This window comes from Homo sapiens, chromosome 6, assembly GCF_000001405.40.
Source record: "Homo sapiens chromosome 6, GRCh38.p14 Primary Assembly".
NCBI classification, from domain to species: Eukaryota; Metazoa; Chordata; class Mammalia; order Primates; family Hominidae; genus Homo; species Homo sapiens.
The window spans coordinates 142,047,279-142,060,824 of NC_000006.12; the positions used below are offsets into that span (position 1 = coordinate 142,047,279).

The following is a 13,546-nucleotide window of genomic DNA, read 5'->3' on the forward strand; positions in this document are numbered from 1 at the left end:
CTCCCAGCTATCATCTGTATTGTTCCAGGCAATAATCTCTAACTTGTTTTCCTCACAACTTCTTCCTTCTACAAACCACTGTACATGCTACTTTCATAGTAGTCACCTAAAGAAACAATTCTTATTAAGTCAACAATTGTACTTAACTTGCAGCACAGAACCTTGTCTTAGTGTCCCTTTCAAAGCATGCATTCTGCCACCAACTTGCCTTCTAAGTCTTATTTCCTCAATTCCATTTGGGAAGTCTATGCTCCAGCCAAAACGGACTCATCACCATTCCCAAGGCTTAACAATTATATATCTCCCATATCTCCACTTATTAAATTCTAACTATCCTTCAAGGCCCTACTTAAATACAACCAGCTCTTCATGCCTCTTCTGATCACTCAGCATCAGGGAAAACTCAATCCTTGCCCTCTCATTATTTATATATTTCTTGAGATTTCTAATGCATTTATCAAAATATTACAACTCTCTGTTTAATTCGAGTCAGCTACCTAATTTATTTTATTTACCCTTTCATTCACAAATTCTATAAACACTTGAGCAGCTACTAAATCTCGGTCCACATATCAGGCACTGGTGATAGAGCTATGCACATACTAGAACAGATTTGTGCCCACACGGAACTCACATTGCAGAGGAAAACAGACCATAGACAAGGTAATAGATAAATAAACAAAAAGCCTAGATACTGAGACAAGTTTTATAAAGGAAATAAACTTGGTTATATAAATGTGAAAGTTTCTTTTACCTTGGGCAGAAGAGATGATTCATCTGAGGCTTGAAAAATGAGGATTTAAAGTGGAGGATGGCTCTGGATTAGATGCTGTCAGAAAGTAAAAGTAATTGTATGATTGGATGGACCCAGAGTGGGAGGTGGAGCAAGATGGTGGAATAAAAAGCTCCACCCTTCCCTCTACAAGGACGCCAAGTTAACAATTATCTACACAGAAAAAAACACCTTTATAAGAACCAAAAATCAGGTGAACACTTATAGTATCTGGTTTTAACTTCATATCACTGAAAACATGCACTGAAGAGATAGAAAAAAACAGTCTTGAGTCACCAACACCACCTCTCCCCCACCCTCGTCAGTGGTGGCATGATGCAGAGAGCCTCTCCGGGTGCTGCGGGAGGGAGAACGCAAGAATTATGAATCACTGAACTCCGTGCTGTTCTGTCAGAGCAGAAAGGAAAATCAGACCAAACTCAGCTGATGCGAGCCCACGGAGGGAGCATTTAAATCAGTCCTAGCCAACGTGAATTGCCGATCCCAGTGGTCCGAACTCGAGTGCTCACAAATGTCACCACTCAGGGCAAAAAGGCTTTTGGTCTCTAAGTAAACTTGAAAGGTAGTCTAGATTATATGGACTGGAACTCTGAGCTAAGCCCAGAGACAGTGAACTGGGAAGGCAAGAAATGTACTGAGACACCAGCTGGGAAGGCTAAGGGAGTGCTGGCATGAACCCTCCCCTAGCCCCAGGCTGCACAGTTAATTACTCCAGAAAAGACCTCTTCCCTCCACTTGAGGAGAGGAGAGGAAAGAGTGAGGAGGACTTTGTTTTGGATACCAGCTCAGCCACACCAGGATAGGGCAAGAGTCAGAGTCATAAGGCCCTTTTGCAGGCCGTAGGTCCCAGATGACATTTTAGACACACCCTGGGCCAGAAAGGAATCCACTGCCTTAAAGGAAAGGACCCAGTCCTTCCAGCATTCATCACCGGCTAACTGAAGAGCCCTTGGTCCCCGAATGCCAGCAGTGATACCCAGGTACTGCATCAAGGGCATAGGTGAGCCTCTGAGACTTGCTGGCTTTAGGTGACACTCAGCACATTGCCAGCTATGGCGGCTACAGGGCAAAACTCCTTCTGCTTGAGAAAAGCAGAGGGAAAGTAAAGGAGATTAGTCTTGCACCTTAGGTACCAACAATGACACTGGGGTATAGAGCACCAAGTGGGCTCCTGGGGTCCCTGATTCCAGAACATGACATTGGATGGCATTTCTGGACTACCCTGGGCCAGAGAGAGGAGCTGCCTTGAAGGATGAGTCCCAGGCCAGGCAGCATTCACAACAAGCCGACTTAAAAGACCTTGGTCCTTAAGAGAACATTTGTGGTGGTCTGGCAGTACTCTCAAGGCCAGGACTGGTAGCAGCCTTGGGTAAGTCTCCTCTGCATTTGAAAGGGGAGGGAAGAGTGGGAAGGACTGCATCTTGTGGTTTCAGTACCATCTCAGCCACAAGATAATACGATACCAGGTACACTTGTACGTTTTTTAACTCTAGTACCAGACTCCCGAGTGGCACTTCTGAACCCACCCAGGGCCTAGGGAATCATGCCACCCAGAAGGAAAGGACACACACCTGGTTGGCTTTGCCACCTGCTGATTGTAGAGCCCAGGGCTTTGAGTAAACATGGGCATTAACCAGGGAGTGGTTACAGCAGGCATTGGGTGAGACGCAGCAGTGTTCTGGCTTCAGTCTATCCCAGTGCAGTTGTAGTGGTGGTGGTCACAGGGGTATATGTGTCACTCAACCTCCACCTTTAGAGGCTCAGAACAGAGACAGATATTTTGTATGTTTGGGAGAAAATAAGAGATGAGAACAAAAGTCTCTGCCTGGTAATTCAGAGAATTCTTCTGGATCTTGCCCAAGACCATCAAGGTGGTACCTCTAGGAGTCTGCAAGAACCAAAGTGTTACTGTGTTTGCAGTACCACCTAAACCAGAAAAAACTTAGATCATAATACCCAAGTGCTTTCAAATATTTGGAAGATCTTCCCATAAAGGACAGCTACAAATAAGCCCAGATAGTGAATACTACAATAAATACCTAACTCTTCAATGCCCAGACACTAAAGAACATCTACTAGCATCAACACCATCAAGGAAGACATGACCTCAACAAATGAACTAAATAAGTCACCAGGGATCAATCTTGGAGAAACAGAGTTATGTGCCCTTTCAGACAGAGAATTCAAAATAGCTGTGTTGAGGAAATGCAAAGAAATTCAAGATAACACAGAGAAGGAATTCAGAATGCTATTGAATAATACATTTAAGAAAAACAGTTTGAAATAATTAAAAAGAATCAAGCAGAAATTCTGGAGCTGAAAAATGCAATAGGCATGCTGAAGAATGTGTCAGAGTCCTTTAATAGCAGAATGGATTAAGAAGAAGAGAGAATTGATGAGCTTGAAGACAAGCTATTTCAATATACACAGAAGAGAAAAAAAAAACAATGAAGCACACCCACAGGATCTACCAAATAGCATCCACAGGGCAAATCTAAGAGTTATTGGCCTTAAAGAGGAGGTAGAGAAAGAGATAGGGGTAGAGAGTTTATTCAAAGGGATAATAACTGAGAACTTCCCAAACCTAGAAAAAGATATTAATCTGCAAGTACTAGAAGGTTATAGAACACCAAGCAGATTTAACCCAAAGAGATTACCTCAAGGCATTTAATAATCAAATTCCCAAAGGTCAAGGATAAATAAAGGATTATAAAAGCAGCAAGAGAAAAGAAACAAATAACATACAATGAAGCTCTAATACATCTGACAGTAGACTTTTTAGTAGAAACCTTACAGGCCAGGAGATTGGCATGACATATTTAAAGGTTGAAGGAAAACAACTTTTACCCTAAAATAGTATGTCTGGCAAAAATGTCCCTCAAACATGAAAGAGAAATAAAGACTTTCCCAAACAAGCAAAAACTGAGGGATTTCATCAATACCAGACCTGTCCAACAGGAAATACTAAAGGAAATACTTCAATCAGAAAGAAAATGACATTAATGAGTAATAAAGAATCACCTAAAAGTACAAAACTTACTGGTAATAGTAAGTACACAGAAAAACAGAATATTATAACACTGCAACTGTGGTATGTAAACTACCCTTTTCCTAAGTAGAAAGACTAAATGATGAACCAATCAGAAATGACAACTACAACTTTTCAAGATGCAGTCAGTGCAATAATATATAAGCAAAAACATCAAAAAAGTTAAAAAACAGATGAAGTTGAGGTGGGTTTTTATTAGTTTTCATTTGGTTTATTTGTGCAAATAGTGTTAAATTGTTATCAGGTTAAAATAATGGATCACAAGATAGTATTTGCAAGCCGCATGGTAACCTCAAACCAATAAACATACAATGGATACACAAAAAACAAAAAAAGCAAGAAACTAAGTTATATCATCAGAGAAAATCATCTTTACTAGAGGCAGACAGGAATAAAAGAAAGAACAGAAGGCCACAAAACAACCAGAAAACAAACAATAAAATGGCAGGAGTAAGTCCTTACTTATCAATAGTAACATTAAATGTAAATGGAATAAACTCTCCAATCAAAAGAGATAGAGTGGCTGAATAGATGAAAAAAACAAGACCCATTGATCTGTTGCCTACAAGAAACACACTTCACATATAAAGACACAGATAGACTGAAAATAAAGGGATAGAAAAACATATTTCATGCCAATGGAAACCAAAAAAGAGTAGGAGTCACTATACTTATATCAGACAAAATAGATCTCAATACAAAAACTATAAAAAGAGGCAATGATGGTCACTATATAATGATAAAGAGGTCAATTCAACAAGAGGATATAGCAATTTTCAATACATATGCACCCAACACTGGAGCATCAGTAAAGGAAATATTATTAGAGCTAAAGAGAGTGATAGGCCCTGATATAATAATAGCTAGAGACTTCAACAGACTTTAAGCATTGGACAGATCATCCAGAAAGAAAATAAAAAAGAAAAAACATCAGACTTAATCTGCACTATAGACCAAATAAATCTAATGGATATTTACAGAATATTTATCCAAGAGCTGCAGAATACATAGTCTTTTCCTCAGCACATGGATCATTCTCAAGGATAGACCATATGTTATGTCACAAAACAAGTCTTAAAACATTCAAAAAATTCAAATAATATCAGATATCTTTTCTGACCACAATGGAATAAAACCAGAAATTAATAACAAGAGGAATTTTGGAAACTATACAAATACAAGAAAATTAAACAATATGCTTCTGATGACTAGACAGTCAATGAAGAAATTAAAAAGGAAATTAAAAATTTTCTTGAAACAACTGATAATGGAAACAATTGAGAAATGTCTAGATACATACCATCTACCAAGATTGAACCAGGAAGAAATCCAAAACCTGAACACACCAATAACAAGTAACAAGATCAAAGCTTCTCGGTAAAGAAAAGCCATCATGATGGCTTTACTGCTGAATTTTACCAAACATTTAAAGAAGAATTAATACCAATACTACTCAACACATTCTGGAGGGAATACTTCCAAACTCGTTCTACGAGGCCAGTATTACTCTGATACCAAAGCCAGAAAAAGGCACATCAAATAAGAAAACTATAAGCCAATATCTCTGATGAATATTGATGCAGAAATCCTCAAAAAATACCAGCAATCAAATTCAACAATACAATGGAAAGATCATTCATCATGACCAAGTGGGATTTATTCCCAGGATGCAAGGATGGTTCAATATATGCAAATCAATCAATGTAATACATCATATCAACCAAATGAAGGGTAAAAACCATATGATCTTTCAATAGATGCTGAAAAAGCAGTTAATGAAATTCAACATCCCTTCATGATAAAAATCCTCAAAAAACTGGGAATAGAAGGAACATAATAAAAACCATGTATGACAGACCCAGAGCTAGTGTCACATTGAATGGGGAAAAACTGAAAGCCTTCCCTCTAAAATCTGGAACATGACAGGGATGCCCACTTTCACCACTATTATTCAACATAGTACTGGAAGTCTTAGCTAGAGCAGCCAGACAAGAGAAAGAAATAAAGGGACTTCAAAGGGAAGGAAAGAAGTAAAATTATCTTTGTTTACTTATGATAAGATCTTATATTTGGAAAAACCTAAAGACTATCTAAAGACTGTTAGAACTGATAAACAAATTTAGGAAATTTGCAGGATACAAAATCAACATACAGAAATCAGTACCATTTTTATATGCCAACAGTAAGCAATCTGAAGAAGAAATCAAGGCAACCTCATTTACAGTAGTCATACATGAAACTGAATACTTAGGAATTAACTTAACCAAAAAAGAGAAAAACCTCTATAATGGAAATTTGAAAACATTGATGAAAGAAATTGAAATGGACAACAAAAAATGGAAAAATATTCCATGTTTATGGTTTGGAAAAATCAATACTGTTAAAATGTCCACACTCCCCAAAGCAATCTACAGATTCAAAGCAAACCCTATCTAAATACCAATGACATTAATCACAGAAATAGAAAACAATTCTAAAATTTACATTTACCCACAAAAGACCCAGAATAACCAAAGCTATCTTGAGCAAAAAGCACAAAACTGAGGAATCACATTACCTGACTTCAAATTATACTATAGAGCTATAGTAACCAAAACAGTATGATATTGGCATAAAAAGAGACACATAGACCAAGAGAACAGAATAGAGTACCCACAAACAAATCTGCACACCTATGAACTCATTTTCTGCACACCTATGAATTCACACACCTGTGAACTCATTTTCAACAAAAGTGCCAAGAACATACATTGGGATAAAGACCATCTCTTCAATAAATGATGCTGGGAAAACTGGATATTCAAATGCAGATGAATGAAACTAGACCCCTATCTGTCACTATATACAAAAGTCAAATAAAAATGGATTAAAGACTTAAGTCTAAGGCCACAGTATATAAAACTACTATCCAAAAACATTGGGGAAAATCTCTAGGACATTGTTCTGGGCAAAACATTTTTGAGTAATATCTCATAAGCACAGGCAACCAAAGCAAAAACGGACAAATGGGATCACATCAAGTTAAAAAAACTTCAGCACTGCAAAGGAAACAATCAGCAAAGTGAAGAGACAACCCACAGAATGGGAGAAAATATTTGCTTATTTCAAACTACGCATCTGGCAAGAGACTAATGACCAAAATATATAAGGAACTCAAACAACTCCAAAAGAAAAAAAAATCAAATAATCTGATCAAAAAATGCACAAATGATTTAGATAGACATTTCTCAAAAGAAGACATACAGATGGCAAATAGGTATATGAAAAGGTACTCAACATAATTGATTATCAGAGAAATGTAAATTAAAACTACAGTGAGATATCATTTCATGACAGTTAAAATGGCTTATATCCAAAAGACAGGTAATACCAAATGAACAGATGCTGGCAAGGATGTGAAGAGAAAGGACCCCTCACACACTGTTGACGAAATGTAAATTAGCACAACCACTATGGAGAACAGTTTGGAGGTTCCTCAAAAAACTAAAAATAGAGCTACCATAAGATCCAGCAAACCTACTGCTGGGTATATACCCAAAAATAAACACATCAGTATATTGAAGAGATATGTGCACTCCTGTGTTTGTTGCAGCACTCTTTACAATAGCTAAGATTTGGAAGCAACCTAAATATCCATCAACAGATGAATGGATAAAGAAAATATAGTACATATACACAATGAAGTACTATTCAGCCATAAGAAAAGAATGAGATCCTGTCATTTGCAACAACTTGTTTGGAACTAGACATCATTATGTTACATGAAATAAGCCAGGGACTGAAAGCAAACATTGCATGTTCTCACTTATTTCTGGGATCTAAAAATCAGAACAATTGAACTCATGGACATAGAGAGTAGAAGGATGGTTACCAGAGGCTGGGAAGGGTAGCAGGGTGTGATGGGGGAGGGGGGTGGTGGTTAATGTATACAAAAAAGAGTTAGAATGAATAAGACCTGCTATTTGATAGTGCAACATGGTAACTATAGTCAATAATAACTTAATTGTACATTTTTTAAAAGAGTGTATTTAGGTTTTTTGTCATGATGTGCTCATTTCACACTGAATGCCTGTATCAAAACATCTCATGTATCCCATAAATATATATACCTACTATGTACCCACAAAAATTAAAAATCAAAAAAATTAATTAAAAAAATAAACTAGAACCAGACAAACACTGTAATTGGTAAAGAAGAAGCAGCTACTCATTTTAGCCCGGATAGAGGGCTTTGGAGTAATTTCTGTGGCTTAGACAATGCGCATGCTTTGTGTTCAGATATGACTACACCGTGGTATTGTTTTCTCTCTATTCATCACAGTCACAGCACTGCCTTCTCTGATGTTAATGTTCTGCCAAATTGTTTATGTTCAACAGAAGAACACTGAGGTCTAGCTAAGGGGCACCTCCTGGATGTCAGGCAATATTTTTGTCTTTCTCACAGGTTATTCTATATAGTTGCAGTGGATTTCCATGGCTTAGGTAGTTAGTTTGAATATACACAATAAGTTTTCCCCCACAGCTCTGTTAGGACAACAGCAGCTGCTCCCTTAGAGGTAGGTATACGCACCAAGCCTTAGACATAATGTTTAATCGCTATTGCATAATTGACACCCAAGAAGGACTTATCAGAGCCCTTCTCAGAGACCATGTCTGGGTGAGAAAATATCTCTCATTCCTCTGGTGTTTTTAACCTAGGGCTGCCTGAGATTGTGTGAACTGACACTTGAAAAAAGGATAGAAGTACATTTTTCTTAAAAGAAACAGAGATAAGAAATTAATACTAAGTTCAGAAGTCATCTATAGGCTTGGATACAGCTTTTCCTAAAGTCCTAACCCACCCTTAGATTTCCCAGTCATATGAGACAATATGATTTATGAGTAAATTCTTTATCAAATTGCATTTTAATTAAATTTCTGTCATTTGTAGTCAAACACATCTAGAATAATGTATAAATACTGCATACATAAGTAAAAGTTCCCCATTCAAGAACTGAAGGTTAACTATTAACACTAGTATGTAATCCATCAACAAGTCCTGGCATGTATACTCCCGTTTATATCTTATATTTGGCCACTTCTCCCTGCATAGCCCCCATGCAGATAAAAGACATTAATGATACATCATTTTCATGTGAAATAGCAGTAGGTTCCTTACTTCTCTATTTCTTTCTACTCTATTCTCCACACTGCAGTCAAAATAATCTTTAATAAGTATAAATAATAAAAATCCATTGGCTTGGTTAAAATTCTTCAAAACTTCCAACTTCACCTCAAATAGATTCCAAAGTCTATCATGACCAGACCACTCTTACCTCCCAAACCTCATTTCATTTTACCCTTCACCTCTTCCACTGTCTCAGCCACACTGGCCTCCTTTTGGCCCATCAAATATATCCTAGTGTTTTTTGCCATCAAGACTTTACATGAACTACTTCTTCTACCTGGAACATTTTCCTAGCTACTACAGTTCCCTCATCCCCATCTCTGACTCCCTAGGAATCAGTCAGATCTCCTTAAGGTGCAAGTGATGAATAAAGCAATATTGATAATAAAATAATTTTCAAAGCAGCCATACTGTAAGTCTTCTTCTCATGCTTCCTCTCAATTTAAACAAAGGCATTTTTCCCATCCCCACACCCACATTGTCACTCTTTCTCAGCACTCTATTTTTTTTAAAAAAGCACCAGTCTCATGTTATAATTATAAATGATATTTTGGGAATTGTTTCGGTAATAGTATCTCTCCCACACTTGTTTATAAGGTCTGTGAAGACTGGACTCTTTAGCTATTTAACATTTGCTTCTGTCTATATTTCTTGCCTAGTGCTCCAGTTTCCATTTAATATAGAAATTCTTAATGTTGTTCCCCAAGATTTTCCTTCTGCTTCAGCTTGCCAGGGTGTGTTACTGACAACTAAAGATTCTTATACCAAGTCTATTTTTTTACACCGTATACTCAAACTTTAATAGAGCACCTATTGTAGACTTTTCGTTCCATAATATTTGTTAAAATGAGATTTTTATGCTGTTTCTTATAGAAAGTGTAAATCTAAGAGCTGTTGCTGTAATACTTCACCAAAAAAAACCTAGAAAAGTAATCAAATGAACATAGTTGAAGACAGACTCTATGCACAAGTTCAGGCAAAGAAACTCATTATAAGACTTTTTTAAACCTGAGGCAGAGAGAGATTTTGAAATCCAGGAAACTAGTGATTTTGCATCTAGTCAGACCTCTTATCATCTGGAGATTTTGAGATTAAAATCAACATGATCAAATATAAGTAGTCATAGTAGGCCACTGTGCAGTGTAATAATTGATTTTCAAGAATTTCACAGGCTTAAATTGTATGGTTTGTATATGCTTTCCTTATTACTTGAGTCTCCTATTACAATGTAAAAAATGTTGTCTTAAGAAATTTAACCTTGGAGTTCCAAAATACAGTGTTCTTAATCTCTAACATGGATCACAACAAAAGAAAAGGAAGGATGAGCTATCAAGAAAAATGTTCTGGCCTGTAATCCCAGCACTTTGGGAGGCCGAGGCGGGCGGATCACGAGGTCAGGAGATCGAGACCATCCCGGCTAAAATGGTGAAACTCCGTCTCTACTAAAAATACAAAAAATTAGCCGGGCGTAGTGGCGGGCGCCTGTAGTCCCAGCTACTTGGGAGGCTGAGGCAGGAGAATGGCGTGAACCCGGGAGGCGGAGCTTGCAGTGAGCCGAGATCCCGCCACTGCACTCCAGCCTGGGCGACAGAGCGAGACTCTGTCTCAAAAAAAAAAAAAAAAAAAAAAAGAAAAATGTTCTGGACACTGAAGCTGTACACTACAGCATATTGCTAAGAAAGCTGTATGGTTGTTTCTCATGGAGACGTTAAGGGTGAGATACCACAGTTCTCCTACTAGTGGTTTAGGTGTCACCTAACGCTAGATAAAGCCTCACACAGATTATGATTCTAGTAAACTACAGTTGTTGAAAACCTAATGCAATGAATCTGTAAGGAACCACTGGGCTCAAAATTGGTCATCAAAGCTACAATTTAAATGCCATTTTACCATGCAAGATTTAGGGATCTGAAGAGGAGAACCTAAGTTAAACTTGCAAAGGACAGCTCCTAGTTATCCTGATGTGTTCTATTTCACATTTATCCCAAGGTTGATTATTTCTCCCCTTACTGGTATTTTGCCAATGTCTACATCTGGGAAACTTTATTTTTGCTTTTTTATTACTTGACATAAGAAAGTAAAAAAGAATAACAGACCAGCCATGTTTATCTTCACCTTCATTTTCTGTGAGTTAATGAAACAGTCTCTCCAGATCAAGAACACATCTGGTATCCATCTGTTAAAAAGCAAGAATTATAATTTTAGCTGTTCTCACTGCTGTCGCTTTATTATCCCCCAGCATTTTTAGGTAATATGCATCCTAATGACTAAGAGAACCACATTTCAGTGACAAAAAGTGGTAAATAGTGCAAAGTATGAAACTTATAGCATTCAGAATTTCCTAGTTTTTCATACAAGAACTAGATCGGATAGCTAAGTAATCACAACAGCAAACGCTACAGCTGATCTAAGTCTCTGGCCTATGTATTCTAATCAGTCAGCAATATTCAACCATAAAACATTTGAATTGGAAAATATATGACAGGTTTTTTATAAATTTTATATATTACTAAGCAGATTTATCAATTTTGTGAGTACCTTAACACTATCTAAGATTATATTGCATGCTAACTCTTTTTTTCCTTTTTTTTTCACTTTGCGAAACTATCAGAAGAGAATACAGTCATTTTTTAGTTATAAATCCACAGAAAGGGAAGGAAACCTTCATGCAGGTATAATGGGAATCAGTGAATTGCCTTCCAGCTACAGTAGAAGCATGGTTCCCACATCATAAAGTGACTGCTTTAACCTACAAAAAGTATTTTCAGGGGCATAAAAAATTGCTTCCTGATGAGCAACTGTGAGCTTTCTTCTCACTATAAACCACAAAGTATTTAAGAATAAGGCAAATCTAAAGGCACAAGCTTCTCATGTGGCTTTCAGGACAAAGATTCCAGTTGCACTTTATGCTCTTATTGTTTCTCCTAAAAGATATCATCCAAATGATATATTCTAAGAAACTTTAAGCTTTGAGAGGCCAAAAAAACAAATCTGTCAAATTCTGTGGATTCCTGACCTGGAGGAATCCATGTTTATATCTGTATAACATTGAAGAGGATATAGGCAGAGTATAAAACAATGATAAACTCAGTACTTCATAGAATTGGATCAATTAAATCTAATTTCTATTCAAAAGAAGTGCTTCTGTTTTACATCAGGTAAGAAAGAAGGTCATAGAATAATACCTTGAGACATTCCACAAAATGTTTCCATCTTTTATTTTCAGGTTCTCTCTTTATCTCCCAACCCAGTACCATTCAACACTTTATTTATATTATTTACAATTACTTGGTGAGCACCAACTACATTAAACTACATTCCAGGAACTACGTAAGCCTTGGGGATATAGTATACACAGACAACACCCTGCTCTTATAGGATTTATATTTAAGATGAAGGAGAAAGACCATACAAGTAAGTAAAGAGACTAGATAAGTGCTATAAGTACATAAATCAGGACAAAATACTGTGATGAAATAATCTGGTTGGGCACAGTGGCTCACACCTGTAATCCTAGCATTTTGGGAAGCCAAAGTGGATAGATAACTTGAGCCCAGTAGTTTGAGTCCAGCCTGGGCAATATGGCAAAACCCTGTCTCCACAAAAATCACAAAAATTAGCCAAGAGTGATGGCATGCACCTGTAGTCCCAGGTACTCAGGAAGCTGAGGTGCGAGGATCACCTGAGACTGGGGTGGTCAAGGCTGCACTGAGTCAAGATCATGCCACTGCACTCCAGCCTGGGTAACAGAATTAGACCTTGTCTCAATAAAATACACGTATATATTTTACAACTGATCTGAGAGTGCTACTATAAATTGATCATGGATAGCCTTTTCCGCAAAAGTTAGCCATGTGAATATCTGAGAAAACAGAGCTACAGGCACAAGACACAAGTGTAAAGGCATTGAAGTGGGAACCTTTTTATGTGCTTAAGGAATATAAAAGAGTGCTGGTGAGACTGCAGTCCAGTGAGCTAAGTAGGAAATGAATTTGAAAAGAGAGTCAGGGATCAAAATGTGTAGACTAAGCAAACAGTTTTCACTTTATTCTAAGTGTATTGAGAAGCAAAGATGTGACATGCTCTAATTTAGGCTTATCATGATTTCTGTTTGCAGTGTGGAATGTGGATTTAATTTGGGACTGGGTGAAAGCAGGGAGATTAGTTAAAATGTTGTTGCATTGATCTAGGCCAAAAAAAAAAAAATGGTCACTTGTGTGTGACAACCATGGCAATGAGGAGATAGTGAAAATCTCAGGATATGCATACTTTGGAAGTAGAGTCAATCAACAGGACTTGCTGATAAATTAGATGTGGAGAGGCAGAAAATGAGGAACTAAAAATGACACTTTTGAACTGAGTTTGTGTTCCTTCAGTAAAGGGTAGAAGTCATGACATTTACTAAAATACAGAAGAAAGGATCAAGTTTGAGAACAATGAGTTAGCTGCAGACACATTAACTTTGAGATGACTGAAATATTCAGAGCAGATGTCCCAGTAGACAGAGGAATTTGCGGGTCTAAACCATAGCTGTGCC

At 37.3% G+C, this 13,546-nt stretch overlaps 1 annotated feature.

Annotated features, from left to right (window-relative positions):
- Nucleotides 10,741-10,941: a silencer, noted in NCBI's record as "peak6171 fragment used in MPRA reporter construct". NCBI's record gives its function as "represses an SCP1 promoter by STARR-seq MPRAs in K562 erythroleukemia cells {active_cell/tissue: K562}" and the evidence as "EXISTENCE:reporter gene assay evidence [ECO:0000049][PMID:32103011]".